Source organism: Homo sapiens, chromosome 2, assembly GCF_000001405.40.
Source record: "Homo sapiens chromosome 2, GRCh38.p14 Primary Assembly".
NCBI classification, from domain to species: Eukaryota; Metazoa; Chordata; class Mammalia; order Primates; family Hominidae; genus Homo; species Homo sapiens.
This window is the reverse complement of record NC_000002.12, coordinates 126872067-126890096: the sequence shown is the minus strand read 5'-3', so window position 1 is coordinate 126890096 and position 18030 is coordinate 126872067. Positions and strand designations below refer to the sequence as shown.

At 49.5% G+C, this 18030-nt stretch overlaps 2 annotated features.

Annotated features, from left to right (window-relative positions):
* Positions 3533–3732: a silencer, noted in NCBI's record as "silent region_11928". NCBI's record gives its function as "represses an Ori minimal core promoter by ATAC-STARR-seq in GM12878 lymphoblastoid cells {active_cell/tissue: GM12878}" and the evidence as "EXISTENCE:reporter gene assay evidence [ECO:0000049][PMID:35858748]".
* Positions 14383–15582: an enhancer, noted in NCBI's record as "CDK7 strongly-dependent group 2 enhancer chr2:127632091-127633290 (GRCh37/hg19 assembly coordinates)". NCBI's record gives its function as "activates an origin of replication core promoter dependent on BRD2, BRD4, P300/CBP, MED14 and CDK7 cofactors, with strong dependence on CDK7, by STARR-seq in HCT116 cells {active_cell/tissue: HCT116}" and the evidence as "EXISTENCE:reporter gene assay evidence [ECO:0000049][PMID:35650434]".

Genomic DNA, 18030 nt, shown 5'->3' with positions numbered 1-18030 from the left:
TTTACGGACCTAGGAGCCTCTCAAGAGGCTCTCAGTGCCCAGCAAGAACAGATGGCTGAGTCTGGCAGCTCCCAGTGCGGGGAATAAGGCTGGCTGGCCTGTGGCTTGGTGAGTCCTGGGGAAGCAGAGAAGGCACAGGCCAGAAGCAAAGCGAAGACTCTCAGGTGCTGGGAGTGCTGTGAGTCCTGGCCTAGAGGAAGCGGGTTCAGGATGGCATCACAGGGTCCATGGGCTGTGTGGATCCTGGGAGCTTGGAGCATGGACCTTCAGGCCCCACTCCAGGCTGGGGCAGCCGTTCTTGAAAGCTCTTTCTACAGCAAGGAAACCCCATCACTCCAAACAGGCCCTGAGGAATGAAACATCTGCAGCTTAATTTTTCTTTTCTGTTTTCCCCCTCCTCTGGCATTTTGCCTAAGTCTGCAGGACCAGGTGTGCTTTGCAGGGCAGAGAGCTAAATCCTCAGAGCAAGGCCCTCTTCCCTGTCAGCTCCCACCCTGCTCAGCACCCTGCAGAGCCTGGCAGGGTTGGAAATGGACAGGGTTAAGTGTGTAGACATTGTTGCCCTCGGTCTTCCGAGTAGCCATGTGTGGCAGGCACGTCTATCTCCATTTCAAAGGTGGGGAAAACGAGGCCTAGGGAGATTACAGTGGCTTGCTCCAGGCTGCCTGGTTAGTAACGGGGGAGCAAGGCACTGCCCCAGATGTCTGACCTCAAGGCCAGTGCAGCCTGCACACCCACTGCTGAGAGAGGAGGGAGGGCCCAGAGGTGTGGCGGCCGTGTGGGGCTCAGGGCAACGTGCTGCCCAGTTCCTGGGTGGTCCTCCTGCTGCTGTGGGGAGAGTGTGGCCCACTGGGGAGCCAGGGCTCTCTCAAGAAGGGGTGGGGAACTTGGGAGCCGCATTTTGGGGGAAGCGGGGTTGGCTTTCGAGTGGGGACAGGCAGCCCCAAGTTGACAGAGTGGAGGCAGCTGCTGCAGAGGAGGAGAGGAGGATTCCCCAGTCTTGAGGGAACGTAGTTTTCTGACAGGTAGACTTGGATCACTCAACTTTGTAAGGATTGGCTTTCTGACACCTGGAGACCCGCATCTGCAGCAGTGTGGGTTCCACGCTCACAGAGATTCAGGGAGAGTCTCAGCACAGCCCCTAACTAGTCACGTGGCCTTGAGCAAGTCAATTACCCTCTAGGGATAATAACAGAGTTGTAGTGGGAATTATTTAAAATAGGTGGTAGAAAGAGCTGGGCCCACACCAGCAGGCAGTAAGCATGAGCGCCTATGGTGAGCTCTGTTGTTATTACTGCAGTGAGATGGGGCTAGGGAGCGGCTTAGCACTGGAGCTCATCCAGCAGTGATGGGATGGTCTGGCTGGTGCTACAGGGGAGACCTGCAATGGGAGAAGGTAGAATCTGACCACATTTAGGTCCCTTCATCTCACTTTTGATAATGTTTTTGAGGTGCTGGTGATCCCTGGGCAGGTTACATGGCCCCCTGGGACCTCAGTTTCTTCCTTTGTAAGCTCTCCTCTCTTGCCAGGGTGATAGGACGGCACTTCAATCCAACAAGAGTCCTGTTGGTGACCGAAGCACTGTGTCTCAAAGGGAGAAGGAAGAATGGCTTTGTGCTGCAGAGGCAAGGGGTTAGGATGTCTTTCCCAGGGCACAGTGGTTCTGCCGATTCTTTGGGCTCTGATCTAAGCCTCTCCACTGGCTTTGGTCCAGGGGCATTGGCTTGAGAGCCTCATCTTCCCTGCACTGGACTCTGGTGCTCACTGAAGCAGAGTGCACGAAACTCCCCTTAAAAGCCTGGTAATGTGGCTCAGAATTGGGCCCTGCAGGGTTATTAGAGCCATCCATCTTAATTATACTGAAAATCACTTATGCGTTTTCCTTAATAACACTGCATTCATAATTTCCCAGCTCTGAGCCGTCTCCTGGCAGGGCTGTCACTCTCAGGGTGGAGTGTTTTCTGCAAGTCACATTTCTTTGTTCTTTCTCCCTTGGTGGGACGATGGGCTGGGCATGGCGGAATCCTTTCCTGTGGGCCATGGATGGAGGGTCAGGCCCTGGGGAGACTGAACCCTCCTGAGTGCTAGGTACTGCCCAGATTCTTCACACCCAGCATGTGATTTAACCCTTTGCATAACCCTGTGAGGTCCATGGGCTTATTGCCATTTACAGATAAGAAAACAGAGGCTCAGAGAAGCTAAGAACTTGTGCAAAGCAACTCCCTCAGAAATGGGGGCTTCAGGGAGAAAAGCTCCTCTTCTGATTTCCTTTGAGGTGTTCACAGACGCCCCCCTTGATCCTTCAACCCCACCGTTGCAGTTTCCATTCTGGCTTTGCCAGGGAGCTGTGAGAAGAAATGCTTTCCTCAGGCCGGGTGCGGTGGTTCATGCGTGTAATCCTGGCATTTGGGAGGCCAAGGCAGGTGGATCACCTGAGGTCAGGAGTTTGAGACCAGCCTGGCCAGCATGGTGAAACCCCGTCTCTACCAAACATACAGAAATTAGCCGGGTGTGGTGGCAGGCGCCTATAATCCCAGCTACTTGGGAGGCTGAGGTAGGAGAATCTGGGAGGCGGAGCTTGCAGTGAGCCAAGATCATGCCACTTCGCTCCGGCCTGGGTGAAAGAGTGAAACTCTGTCAAAAAAAAAAAAAAAAGAAGAAAAAAAAGAAAAAAAAAAAGAAAAGCTTTCCTCCCTTGAAGCATCCTCCCCATAGAGCCCCAGAAAACATGCACACAGCACACACGTACACACATGCACAACACACACACACACATAACACACACACACGCATACATTCTCTCTCTCTCTCTGTCCCCACTACGGACAACTCCCTCCCCTGTCTAGTATAGGGTCTCGGTTTCTCTAGTGCGTCAATGGGGAGGGCTAAGTCTGGGTCCCTCACTCGCTACTCACATGGGGGCAACCCTAAAGGTGACAGTAAATTGGACCATGCGCTGCCCGGGAAGAAAATGGACTTGGAGCCGGTCTCAGGAGGCAGGAGCCGGGGCACACGTGGGAGTAGACCTGGAGAGCGCATGTCTGTGAGTGCTCCAGTCCGGGGGTTCTGGCCTGAGGGGGCTCCTCCCACGGGTCTCGAGACTACTGGGTACATAGAAAGCAGAAGCCAAGAGACAAATATTGGGAGGGAGAAAAAGCAAGACAGATGTAGTGTATGCCAACCACGTGCCATTTTGCCCTAGGGGAAATGAGTCGAGCCTCTGAGCTTTGAAGGGCTTGGGTCGGGAAGAGAGAAGGAAGAGGGAAGGGGAAGGAGGCCCTGAGAGCGGAGGTGTGGCGTGGGGAGGGAGGGACGGGGAGGCAGGAATCAGGAGGAGCCTCTGACGGCCCTGGGATCAGCAGGTGGTTTGGAGGAGGTGATTCTTGCGGGTGAGGAAGCGGGTGGAGGAGGCAAGAGAGAAGAGTCTGGCAGGGATCAGATACGGGACTTCAGGCAAGATTTACTGCCAGTGGGAGGGTCACCCAGATGGGGCTCCGGGAAGGCAGGGGCAGAGCCCCGTTCCTTCTGGGGAAGAGGCCAGCAGCTCTCCTTAGGCAGGAGCAGGAGCGCGGGGAGCTGAGGCCGAGCTGGCTGGCGCACGCGAGGGGGCGCTGTGGGGCGGCACCACCGGGTCGACCAGACCACGCCCACCCCGCTGAAGCGCCGCGAGGGTGCGTTTGGGGCTCTGGGTGATGGGCCCGACCGGGGTTAGGGGGCTGGGAGGGTCGGCCACGTGAGCCTGATCAGTCCTGTGGGGCCGGGCCACGCTAGGCACAGAGCCTTTGCTTGCAGCTGGGCTAGGGCCAGGTGGCCGGTGCTGGAGGGCGCTCAGCCTCTCCGGACATGGCCTGGCTCCTGGGTTCAACGCGCGGGGCCCTGGTTTGCAAGGCTGCGGAAGGGCTTGCCAGCACAGATTTCCAGGGGCTGCCCTGTGGGTTGCCCCTGACGCCCCCACTTCCCTTCTCATCCCAGACACTGTGGTCCAGGAGGTGCAGAGTTCAGGGCCTGCAGAGCACGTCCCCCCACGAAGCCATCCTTGGGCGAGCACCAAGAAAGCGGGCTGATGAATGGGCTTCCACCCCGAGGTCCAGACAGCTGCCTTCCCTGCTGACTCAGCTCGGGAAAGCTGCCGAGGCAGAAACTTTTCTAAGAGCAGAAAAATAAGGCGCGAGGCCCCGGCGCTGTCTGTGGTGAAGGAGCGAGGCTTGAGAGAGGCCCTGAACCCTGGAGGAGCCTGGAGGAGCCTGGAGTTCCCAGTCGGGCCCGCTCCAGCCCAGGAGGGAACAGTAGCAGCACAAGTCCGTGCATCCCGGATGGAGGCTTCATTTGCCCAGAGCCCTCCAGGCGCCTTTGGGAGCTAAGTTGTGGGTCTCCCGGTTCCCATGTGAGGAATCCGAGGCCCCGCGGAAACCCATAAACGACATCCAGCAGGGTAGGATGGACCCGCTGGGCCTGGCGTGGAGCCCACCTGTGCACTTTGCATACCCACTGCCTGCTCAGCCCCTCACACCTTCCCTTTTCAGCCACTCCCCGACTTGTAGGCTGGGGGTGTGGCCAGAGGCTTCCCAGGGCTCTGCAGAGAAACAGAATCAGTAGGAGATACATACATACACACATACACACACACACACACACACACACACACACATATACACATATACATGATATATTATTATATCTATGTATCTATGTATCTATCTATCTGGAGAGAGGGAGAGAGGAGAGGAGACAGGCTGGCAAGTTCAAAATCTGCGGAGCTGATGTCCCAACTCGAAGGCCGCCGGGCAGGAGGAATTCTCCCTTGCTCCAGGTAGGGTCAGGTCAGCCTTTTCTCCTATTCAGGCCTTCGAGTGATAGAATGAGGCCCACCCACTTAGGGAGGGTAATCTGCTTTACTCAGCCTACTTATTTAATGTTTATCCACAGACACATCTAGAATAATGTCTGAACAACTGTCTGGGCACCTCGTGTCCTGGTGGAGTTGACACGTAAAATAGGCAGAGCTGCTGCAGGTGCCTGGGCATGAGCTCCACCAGTCTGATCCTAATTTTTCATCCATAAAGAGCATGTCGTCAGCATGACTGAGGCTAATGAGTCGACACCATCTATGAGCCAACACCATCTATGAGCCATGATGTGTGTGGCCCACAGCGGCTCTGTCGGACTCACTATGGGCAGTCTCCACTGGCCCTCCCAGAAGGGATCATGCGGGCAGTAGTATCAATGCTTTTTATTTTTTTTTTTTTTGAGATGAAGTCTCGCTCTGTTGCCCAGGCTGGAGTGCAGTGGCACAATCTCGGCTCACCGCAACCTCTGCCTCCCAGGTTCAAGCATTTCTCCTGCCTCAGCATCCTGAGTAGCTGGGATTACAGGTGCTCGCCACCATGCCCGGCTAATTTTTGTATTTTTAGTAGAGACAGGGTTTCACCATGTTGGCCAGGCTGGTCTCGAACTTCTGACCTCACGATCTGCCTGCCTCAGCCTCCCAAAGTGCTGGGATTACAGGCGTGAGCCACCGCGCCCGGCCCGGCCCGTATCAATGCTTTTAAGTATTCACCAGTTGCTCCTTGGCCAGGATGACTGTAGCTGATGTCTGCAGGACTGATGATGATAAGCTAAGATGACACCTCCTCCCTGGGGGCCACAGAGCCACGATCTATAGATCTGTGAGGCCACCAGGACCTCTAGGGTCAGTCGGCCCCGCAGAGGCTGATTTTATCTGAGGGCAGAGGAGCCAGGGAGAGTTATAAGCAGGGCTCAAAGCACATCACATTTGCTTCACAGAGAGGGCTAGGGGTGCTTCCCTTCCCTTTATGGTGATGGGTCCCAGTCTGGGCTCAATGTGTAGCCCACAGGCCTCTTTGCTGGTCAAGGAGGTGGACTACACAGTGGGATGTTGGTCCCACACCACCTGCCCTGATGTGTCCCTGAAACCAAATCTGGTGCGAGAACGCCTGTACTTAAGTATATGAAAAATTTAAGGTGTTTTGAAAACAACTATGTAGGGCTGCCAGAGGGGAACAGATGTCATATTGGCACATAAACAATTAACTGGGACCAGCTGCATCCTTCACTCACCATCACCTACGCCATCAAGAAGAATGGCATTGTAGGGAACAAGATGAGGGCTATGAGTGCTCCGGGCCTGGAAATGTGCTGGTCACCACTATTCCAGACAAGAGGCTTCTTGTTCCCCCCCACCTGCAGAACTCAGTTTCCTCACAGAGTGGGGCACAAATCTCAAATAGCCACATAGCTGCCCTCAGGGGTACGGTTTTACTGGGGAGTCCAGACCTGGCCATAGGAGGCCATTCTCGACACGGCCATGTGCACAGAGCAGAGTTCCAACTACAGGCAGCCATAGACCAGCTTCCTGCACAGCTCTGAGGCCTCGGCCAACCAGAGTAATCCTGTGCTATATTTACCTGCCTCTAACATGGTCCCTGCCCTATCTATGCACCTTGCATTTTCTGTAAGCATCCAGCATCCAGGACAGGGCCGGGCATAGTGTAGGTAGGCAGGAATGTTTATTGAGTGAATGGATGAATGGATGGATGGCTGAGTAGTAAACAGATGAAGAGGTGAGTGGATAGATGAATAGGTGGGTTGATGGGTGGGAGATGGATGGGTGGATGGGGCCAAAGGGAAGCAATGCCATTATGGGTGGAGGGAGCTTTACAGACTGTTTTCCCAACCTCAGGGCAGAGGCTGTCTCTCCTCTAGGGCTTATGTGGCACTGGGGTCCCCTTTGTTCTCTATCTTTGAAAGGCCAAGGTCAGGCAGGCACCTGATTATGTAGGAGGTAGGCGATGCCTGAATCCCTTTCATACTGTGGCGCTTGATTTACCTACACATAAAATGAGAGCCCACACACTGACCCTTGTTGCCATGGCAGGGCCGGGGCAGCACAGAGTGTGGGGTCCCAGGGATCTGCTGCTGGGTTTCCAGTAAGCATGATGTCATGATGTCATTCCAGGAAAGGAGAGCTTCAGGGTCAGCAGAGCCAGCTGGAGATGACCTAGGGAATAAACTCAGAGAGACAATGCATCTTGGCCTCTGGCTGCGGGCTGGGATTTGAGATCTGGGGAGGTGAGCAGCCTGCTAGGGTGTGGGGCTCCCCAGGCCTGCCCTTCCTTCCTCTGAAGGCTTTCAGGCTGTCCACCTTCCATGCTCAGAGAGGCCTCCCCTGGGATTTGAGAGCCTTGTGAGCTCCCCTCTATGGGGAGGTGGGGTGACAGGCAAATCTGCTTTGTCCAGGAGCTCCTTCTCAGATATAGGTACTGATGCAAACCTTTACCATGCTATGTGTCCCTGTTAATTAGCCAGGTCCTGCTCGGTGGTGACCCAGCGTGCTTTGCCCTCCAGTCTCCCTGGTTGATGCAGGGCATGTGGGCTACTCTGGTGTTTGTCTGAACTATTGCTGTATGCCCAGCACAGGTGAGCACCAAAGAGGTGATCTTGGGTTTAGGAGGTCCAAGAGGGGAGTCATTCAAGAGGGGAGTCATTCAATCTCTCAGGGCTCCTGGTGGGGGCTTTTTGGATAGATGCTGAGCTGACTAGTTAAAAGAAAAAAGGGCACAGGTGGGCTTGGTCCTCCTACCTCTCTCTCCCCCACTGTCAGGGATGTGGGTTGTTCTTGGGGTGAGAGGGGGATAAGGCTGAGTCGAGTGGGTTACCGAATGGCTGCAGGGGGATGATGCCATCTGCTTGAGCCATGGGCCAGGTGTGGAATCTTGGAGCATGTCAGAAAGGAGAGAGGCTTTGTGGCCAGACACACCTGGCTTGCAACCCCCCTCTCAATGCCATGCATGTGACCTTGGGGGCATCACTTAACTTCTGTGGGCATCAGTGTCCTCATCTTCAAAAATGCAAATGGCAACATCTATTTAGGATATTTCTTATTAGGATTGATGAGATTTTATTAAAAATTTCTAGCACATGGGGGGCTCCCAGAAAAGCTAGCTCCTATCATTTTTTCAATGCGAGTAGTTCCTGGGTGAGCAAGACTTCCATTTCCCAGCCTTTCCCATGTTTGCAGAATACACAGAACATGGCACTGTTTGTCTGGCACAGGGGTATGTGGAGGCAGGAGGTGTCAGGAGGCTATGTTGGCTGCAGATGCCCCTCCTCTTGCTCACTGGGAGCCATTCCTGGCTGATCTGGGCTCCCTCTGGGGCAACTCTGAGCTAAAGACCCTCGCCTGGGGGTCTACGTGGAGCTAAACCTCTCTCTCCCTGCCTACGGGGTGCTGACTCATGTCTTCACCCAGGATGGATTCCAGACAGGACTCTTGAGGATGAGGCGGGGGCTCCTTCTTCCTGCTGTGACCTCCTGCAACCTGCACACATCAGGGGCACGGAGGAGGCAGTTGATTGTGCTGATCATTTCGTAAATGCCTCCTCCAAGCCAGGCAGCCCGCAGGGCAGTTTACGTGCATCGTCATCACAAATCCTTGAAATCATGAAAGAGAGAGAGGCACAGAGAGATTAATTTCCCACAGTCAACAGCTGCGACGGGCCAGATCTGGATTTTAAGAAAGTTCGAATTTTTAAAATTGTGGTAAAATTCACGTAACACAATTTATTATTTAAGCCTTTTAAAATGTACAGCTCAGTGGCATTAAAGTACATTCACATCATTGTGCAACCATCGCCACCATCCATCTCCAGAACTCTCCATTTTCCCAAACGGAAGCTCTGTCCCCATTCAACATGAACTTCCCATTCCCCTCCCTCCAGTCCCTGGGGCCCCCATTCTATTTTCTCTCCATGGATTTGACTATTCTAGGCATCCCATATAAGTGGAATCATATGGTATTTTCCCTCTATGATTAGCTTAACATAATGTCCTCAAGATTCATCCACGTTGTAGCATGTGCCAGAATCTTCTTCTTTTTTAAGGTGGAACAACATCCTTTTGTGTGTGATACCACATTTTGTTGATCTGTTCATCCCTTGATGGACACTTGGGTAGCTTTCCTTCTGGCTGTGGTGAATAATGCTCCTAGGAACATGGTGTGCAAATATCAGTTCGAGATCTTGCTTTCAGTTCTTTTGGGTATATACCCGGAAGTGGGATTTCTGGGTCATATGGTAATTGTATGCTTAACTTTTTGAGGAAACTCCCTGCTGTTTTCCACAGCGGATGCACCATTTTGCATTCCCACCCCAGTGCACAAGGATTCTAATTTCTCCACATTCTCAACGCTTGTTATTTTCTGCTTTGTTTTGTTTGTTTGTTTTCTTTTTGTTTGTTTTTTGGTAATAGCCATGTGAATGCAAGTAGCTCTATTGCCCGGGGACTGGGGGAGGTCGGGAGTGGAAGTGCTTTGAACACAGTAGCGGGGAGGCAGGTCTTCCATGTCTCAGCTTTGAAGCATCAAATGTGTCTTGCCCGCCCCCTCTTCCACTTCTTCCACCCCTGCCAGGCTGGACCACTGCACGCCCCCGCTGTCTCCTGTCTTCTCTTGGCTGCCCTAGATGTCTTTCCCTAGACGAACCTGACCGTGTCACTGACCAGTTTGAGGGCCTGAGCATGCTCCTTGCCACCTAAAGGCAAAGGCCCTTAAAAGCCCCCAAGTTGCACCACTGCAGTGGGTTTCGTGTGAGTGGTTGCCTGGTCAGGATCTGGCCTTGCCCACCTCCCACCTCACCTGAGCCACACTCCCTGCTGGGTGCTTGGCATCCGGCCAGCACACCCATCAGGCCCAGGAGGCTGCCCCTATCCTCCTTGTACATTTGCTGTTCCTATGCCTGGAGTGTCCAGAGCCCCACCTTTCATCTGGGGAGCACCCACTCATTCTTTGAGACTCTGCCCAGCTTGCTGATCCCATATGGGCTGACCTTGCTCCCAAGTGCCCCCCCAACACACAGGGCATATATGCGCCTGTGTGTGTGGTTGCAGGCATGTGTGTGGGGCATGTGCATGGGAGTGGCAGGGCATGTGTGTGGGAGGATTGTAGGAGTATGTGTATGTTTATGTGTGTATGGTTGTAGGAGTGTGTGTGTTTATGTATGTGGTTGTAGGAGTGTATGTGCATGTGCGCATGGTTGTAGGTGTGTGTGTGTTTGTGTGGTTGTAGGTGCCTGTGTGTACATGCGTGCATAGTTGTGGGGGCATGTTGTGCATGTGTGCATGGTTGGAGTGTGTGCCTCTGTGTATGTCATTGTAGGTGTGTGTGGTGTTAGGAGTGTGTGTGTCTGTGTGTGTGGTTGTAGGTGCATGTGTGTGTGTGTGTGCACGCATAGTTGTAGGGGCATATGTGTGCATGTATGCATGGTTGTAGGAGTGTGTGTGTGTGTGCTCGTATGTGCCTTGTGTGGATGCGTGCATGGCTGTAGGGGCATGTGTGTGTATGTGTGCCTGGTTGTAGGAGTGTGTGTCTGTGTGGTTGTAGGAGTGTGTGTGTGGTTGTAGGTGCCTGTGTGTGCATGCGTACATGGTTGTAGGGGCATGTGTGTGCATGTGTGCATGGTTGTAGGTGTATGTGTGTTTGTGTGTGTGTTTGTAGGTGTGTGTGTGTCTATGTGTGTGGTTGTAGGTGCCTGTGTGTATGCGTGCACGGCTATAGGGGCATGTGTGTGTATGCGTGCCTGGTCGTAGGAGTGTGTGTGTCTGTGTGTGGTTGTAGGAGTGTATGTGTCTATGTGTGTGTGGTTGTAGGAGTGCGTGTATCTGTGTGTGTGGTTGTAGGAGTGTGTGTGTCTGTGTGTGTGGTTGTAGGAGTGTGTGTGTCTGTGTGTGGTTGGAGGAGTGTGTGTGTCTGTGTGTGTGTGGTTGGAGGAGTGTGTGTGTCTGTGTGTGTGGTTGGAGGAGTGTGTGTGTCTGTGTGTGTGTGGTTGGAGGAGTGCGTGTGTCTGTGTGTGTGTGGTTGGAGGAGTGCGTGTGTCTATGTGTGTGGTTGGAGGAGTGTGTGTGTCTGTGTGTGTGTGGTTGGAGGGGCATGCGTGCATGTTTGGGGAGTTTGTAGGAGTATGTGTTGCATGTGTGTGGCCAGGTTGTGCTGTATTAATAAATAACCAATTATCTCAGTGGCTTTACAAAAGAACTTAGTGCTCCTTACAGAAGGTTGGCAGGGGCTCCACTCTTACTGTCACTCAGGGACCGAGGCTGATGAAGGTCCCATCTCACATGAGTTCTTCCATCACTGAGATGAATGGAAAGAAGTGTGATAAGTTGTGCACTTTCTCTTAACACTTCTGCCCAGGAGTGACACACATTGTTTTGCCTTATGTTTTATTGTTCAGAACAAGTCACGTGGGGAGACCTGGCACACTTGTGAATAGCTCTGTGAACAGCCATGGGGGCCGTGAGCCACTGGGGACCAGCTGGAAGGGCCTTCATTCCTCTCTCAACACCTGGGAACTGAGGCAGGACCCACGGTCCTGGGACGAGGTCTGGAAGCGCAGACCGGAAAGCTGAACATTCCAGCAGACTCTCTTCCTGGGCTAGAAGTTTGGATATCCTTGGAGGCACTCAGATTAAGTAAAATTCCAATTTGAAAAATACCAGTCTCTTCTGGACATTCCAAGAGGAGAGGGTCCATTTCGCACTTCGGTCCTGGGGACGTGTCTAGCCAGCAGGTGTGGGGATGATGATAGAAGGCGTGGGCTCTGAGGCCAGGGAGTCCACAGTCCTCGCCGTGACTGCTCAGCTGCTTTCTGGCTGTGGTCTTGGGAGGCTTCACTGCTCCACTTTGTTCGCCCATCTGTAAACTGGGGCTGATAATCATGGCACCATTCGAGCAGCTGTGCAGACTGAAAGAGGTCATGCCTGGACGGCACGTGGCCCCAGACCTGGCCTGGAGAGGACGCTTGGCCTCCGCTCATCATCCCTGGGGTTGACCTCATCGTGCTGTAACCAGCCCTGCTCTGTCCCTTGCTGGATGTGTGAGCGTGGACAGGTTGCTAAATGCCTCCTTTGGTTCTGAATTTCTCATTTGAAAATGGAGACAACGGCACCTCTATTCAGTGCTGTCCTAAGCTTGTGAGGCCGGTGGTGAGCCAGCATCCGGTGCCTAGGGAGGGCGGGAGGTGCGCGGGGAGCACAGGCAGGGCCGGCTGTGTGGCCACCCTGGGGACACGGCCCGCCACACCTCACATCTGTGCAGAAGCCTGCTCAAAAGTGATTCTACTCTTTTCCTTATTTGGGACAGTGCCTTTCCTTCCTTTCATTAAAAAATAAAAAATCTCCATGGGACATAGAATCCTAAGAGCCAGCCGTGGCGGGAGGTGGCTCTGTGGACCGGCATACCTCTCAGTGTCCCTCCTGTGTGATGCAGGAGCTGGAAAGACTGAATGGGCAGGGAGTGTTCACCATAACAACATCCTTTTCCCCATCCCATCGGCACAGAACTAAAGTGTTCTCGACAAAGAGGGTGGGGGAGAGAGGACGTTAATTCCAGAGTGCCCGGGAGCCAGGACGGGCGCCTTCATTAGAAAGTTCAAAATCACATTTTATTTCCATTTTGATGAGATTTTTATGAGTTCGAAGAGATGAAGTCGAATCCCATGAGTGTAATGGACCCAGAAAGATCACAGATACAGGATTGAATCCAACGAACCATGAGGAGTTTAGTAAATTAATTAAATTTAAGAAAATAGTGATTTTTTTTTTTTTGCTACTGGATTAAAATTTCTAAAACGTCTTAAAAAGGCAATGGCAATTCTCATTCATGGGAAGTAACAATGACACCAGCACTCCTTCAAACTCTCTCTTGTGTTTGTTTTATGAAACTGCATTGGTGGGAGAATGTTCATGGTGAGGATGGTGAGGGGCCGGGTGGAGGAAGCTCCTCCTAAATGCTCCTACACAGTTTGGTCCCTGAATCTAAGTTCTCGAACCCACAGATGCTGGGTCACAGCTCTGTCTGCCAGCGAGGACTAGGCGTGCAAAGCAGGTTTACTGTGCATGGGTTACCACTTCGGCCCACTGACTCTGGCTGTAATTTCTACTGCTTGCTCAAGTCTGGTGAGATGGAACACTCACACAGTGCATGAAACAACTTCATTCCTCACAGACAAGGAGCAAGGGGCAATAGAAGCCTAGGATTCATGACAAAGGTCCCCTAAGGCTCAGGAAGCTGCTCAGGGCAAATGTCTGCACATGCCCACTTGCACCACAGCTGAAGGACTCTGGAAAGCAACCTGCCCTGGGTTTTATACCCCGAGGGCACCATGACACTCTGGACTAAAGCACTGAAGGACATCCTGTTGCGGGAGAGACTGGCACAGAGCTGGGGCTGGTCTGGGCTGTTCCTCCTTACTCAGGACGTTGCATTCCCAGCACATTCTACGGTTACTCTTGAGAACTACAAGTGAAAAAGTGGGAGAGAATGGATTGACCCAGGGCCACCCACAGAACTGTCCTGCAAGGGGCAAGATCAGAATAGTTTTGAATTGGGGTTGTTGTAGTTGTTGTACAAACAAAGCTGACCAGTCACCCTGAGGGGATGCAAAAGTAGCCCAGCCTTACAAAGGAGAAGTTTGGAAGAGGAAAAACCGGTTCAGGAGACAGCCCCCATCTGACTAGAATCCCACTGTGATCTCTGCACTTCACCTCCTCAGTGCATTTTAGCCTCAAGAGGAGATAGTGGTAATAGGTGGGTGGGGTGGCGGGGGGGGTTCATGTTGAATAAATACTTCATTTATGCTAGAAACTCTACATATATGATCTCATTTAACTAAATCAGCAACCAAACTGTGACCTAATTATCGCCACATTACAGACAACAAAAACATACAACTACGTGGATGTGTTTCATTGTAAACTCAAGACCACAATCCCCAAGTGAACTCTTCATTCTGCCCAGCAATCATGTTGGTTGGCAAACGGGCTGTAAAGGGCCAGGTGGTAAATATTTCAGGCTTTATGGGCCACCCGTCTCTGCTGCTCTCACTCAACACTGCTGCCATGGGCACTACAGAAATGAAGAAGTGTGGCTATGTTCCAATAAAGCTTTATGTATGGAAACTGAAATTTAGATTTCATATAATTTTCACATGCCAAAAATTATTCTTCTTTTGATTTTTTCTCTCAGCCATTACAAAATGTGAAATCCTTTCTTAGCTCCTGGGCCATATATAAATCAGGCAGCAGCAGGATTTGGCCTGAGGGCCATGGTTGGCGGACTCCCACTGCAGGCCAGCCCTCTCCCAGATCCTACAGGACTCTTCCATCCTTTCCTCCACAACCTCCTCCCTCATCTTCACACTCATCTGAAAACCTTGCTTCCCACTTCACTGCGAAAGGAGAAACAATCAGAAGAGATTACATCCACAGATCCCAGCATATCATCCCCTACCTGTTACCATCTTGTCCCACATCTTCTGCCCTCCTGTCCCTTTGCCATAGAGGGTCCACCTGGGTTCTAACTTCAATTCAGCCCCACTCCTGGGGGTCTAGAGCTCACATCCTCTGTCTTCCCCAGGAATTCACTCCAGCAGTCCTTGCCCCTCTCCTGGCTCATTCCCATAAGCATTCAACTGTGCGGTCATCTCTCTTGTCTTAAAAAATAAACAAATACGTCTTCCTCACATTGCCCTATCAGCTACTGTTAGAAACAAATGCTTCTTCCTCCAGTGCTGAAAAGAAGAAATAGCACTTGAACATAAATTTACTTTTCTCAGCAAGGCAATTTTTACTTCTATAGAAGGGTGCAACTCATGGAGGGAACAATGGCAAGAACACACCTAAACAAGGGAGGGAAAAGGGTTCTTATTCCTGATGCGGGTAGCCCCTACTGCTGTGTTTTTCCCCTATTGGCTAGGGTTGGACTGCAGAGTCTAAGCTAATTCTGATTGCCTATTTTTAAGAGAGCAGGAGTATGAGCCAGAGTGGTGGGGTTAGTAGTTTGGTGGGAAGGGCTGTTACAGAACAGGTGACTCAGGATGAGTTAGGATGGAGCAGGTGACCAGGAGTGACTCAGGTCGGAGCAGGTGACCCAGGGAACAGATGTAAACTACTGATTAGAACTGGCGGCAAAGTTGTTTACTGAAACTAGAGGCAAGGGGGTGAAGAGAACCAGGAAGTTAAACTTTAAAATGGAGAACCAAAGAATAAGAGGGCCGAACATACTGAATACTGATTCTTTGAAGAGAAACTTGGAGTTCACTATATCTAACATACTATACCATTTCTCTGCTCCCATTTGTAGCAAAACTTCCTGAAACAGTGTACACCGACTCCAAAGCTCCTTCCCTCATTTTCTCACTTTAAAATGTTTGTTATTTTTAAATTGAGGCAAATTTAGATAGAGGAAAGTAAACAGATTTCAGTATACAGTTTGACAATTTTGACAAATATGTATTCCCATGAACAGCATATGTATTCCCATGAACCCAAATCAAGATATGAAATATTTCCATCCTCCCAAAAAGCTACCTTTCAATCCTTTTCAGCCAAGGCAGTCATTGTTTTGATTTCCATCACAATAGATTAGTTTTTCCTGCTCTCGAACCTCCTATTTATAGAATGTGTCTGGTTTCTTTTGTTTAAACAATGTTTTTGGGATTTGATCCACCCAAGTATCAGTGGTTCAGCCTATCTGTTTTTCTGGAGACACCCTTGTTTAAATTTATTACAATTTGTTTAATTTGTTTATTGATTATCCTGTTTATATATATATATATGTATATTTTTCTAGCTCTGAGCTATTATGAATAAAGCTGTTATGAACATTTTTATGTAAGTTTTCTTGTGGGCCTACACCTTAATGTCCCTTGGTTATATTCCTGTGTAGGGTAGGTGTATGTTTAACTTCAACAGAAGTTGCTAATCACCTTCCTACAGTGTTTTAAGCCTTTTCACTCTCCCGATACTAACACATAAGAATTCCAATTGCTCCACATCCTCATCAGCACTTGGTATTGTAAATTTTTAATTCTAGCCCTTTGTGCAGTGTGAATGACATCACTGCATTTCCCGGGTGATGATGTTGAGCACCTTTTCATGTACTTCCTGGCCATTTGTGTGTTTTCTTTTTCTCCTTTACAATAATTGGGTTGTCTGGCTGTTTCTCATTGACTTGTAAGAGTTCTTTACACATTTTGGATATAATTTTTTGGTCTGATATATGTGATTCAATAATTATTTCACAGACAAATCTATAGCTTTCCTTCTCCTTTTAAAATAATAGTGTGTTTTTATGAGCAAAAGATTTTAATTTTGATAAAGTGTAATTTATTCATTTTTTAAATTTTATGGCTTATGCTTTTAGGACGTGTCTAATAAATCCTACGATTGTAAAAATATCCTCCTATTTTTCCTTCCAGAATATTTTTAGTTTTAGCTTTGATATTTAAGGCTATGGTCCATCTTGAATGAAGTTGTGTGAATGGGGCAAGGTGATAGCCAGTTAATTTCTTCCATGTGCTCTGCGGTTATTTCAGCACTGTATGTTAAAAAGACTGTTCTCTCCTCACTGTTTTTGTGTCTTTGCCAAAAATCACTTGGCCATACGGGTGTGGGTCAATTTCTGGACTTTATTTTCTGCTACTTTGATGTCTTTTTCTATCCTTGAGCTAACAGCCCACAGTCTTTATAATTTTTGCTTCATATCAAGTTTTGAAATCAGCTACCATAAGTCCTCCAATTTTGTTCTCTTTCTAGATTGCTTTGGCTATTCTAGGTCCTTTGCATTTCTGTATAAATTTTAGAATCAGCTTGTCAGTTTCTATAATAAATCCTGCTGGGGTTTTGACTGGTGATTTCATTGAATCTATAGATCAATTTGGATAGAATTGGCATCTGTTACAATAGTCTTCCAATCCTTGAGTATAGGATATCTTTCCATCTATTTAGGTCTTTACTTTCTTTTAGCAATGTTATATACTTTTTTTGTGTAGAGGTCTTGCACATTTTTTAGTTAAATTTGTTTCAACATATTTACTTTTTTGAATGCTATTGGAAATTATATTAGTCCATTTTTGTTATTTAGAATATCTGAAAGTAGGTAATTCATAAAGAAATTTATTTCTACAGTTATAGAGGCTGAGAAATCCAAAGCTGAGAGACCGCCTCTAGCAAGACCCTTCTTGCTGATGAGGACTCTCTGAAGAGTTCCAATATCACATGGTGAGGAGGTTGAGGTGCTACCAGGCTAGCTCAGGTCTCTCTTCCTCTTCTTGTAAAGCCACCAGCTGTGCTCCTGTGATAACCAAACAATCCACTAACCCATTAATCCATGAATGAATTAATGCATTAATAAGGGTAAGGCCCTCATGATCCAATCACCTCTTTTTATTATTATTATTATTTTTTGAGATGGAGTCTCACTCTGTCCCCCAGACTGGAGTGCAGTGGCGTGATCTCAGCTCACTGCAACCTCCACCTCCCAAGTTCAAGTGATTCTCCTGCCTCAGCCTCCTGAGTAGCTGGGACTACAGGCGTGTATCACCATGCCCAGATAATTTTTGTATTTTTTAGTAGAGACGGGGTTTCACCATATTAGACAGGCTGATCTTGAACTCCTGACCTCGTGATCCGCCCGCCTCAGCCTCCCAAAGTGCTGGGATTACAGGCATAAGCCACAGCGCCCAGCCTCCAATCACCTCTAAACGGCTCACCCCTCAACACTGCTACATTGGGGATTAATTTCAACATGAGTTTCGGAGGGGACAAATATTCAAACCATAGCAAAAATAATATTTTTTAATGAAAAATTCATTTTCCATTTGTTGCTAGTGTTTAAAAATAATACTGATTATTTTATTTTGACTTTTAACTCTCCAATCTTGTTAAATTCACTAATTATTCTAGAAATGTGTAGGTTTCTTTGGATTTTTCTACAATCATGTCATCTGCAAATAAAGACGGCCTTACATCCTTCTTTGTCTTGCCTTAGAAGACTACTGAAACCTTCAGTACTGTACTGTATAAACTTGATAGGAATGAATATCTTTACCTAGTTCCCAGTCTTAGAGGGCAAATGTTGAATATTTCATCCTTATATATGTTGTCAGCTATGTATTTTTCATAGAAATTCTTTTTCAGATTGAGGAAATTTTCTTCTACCTTTTGCTTGCTGAGAA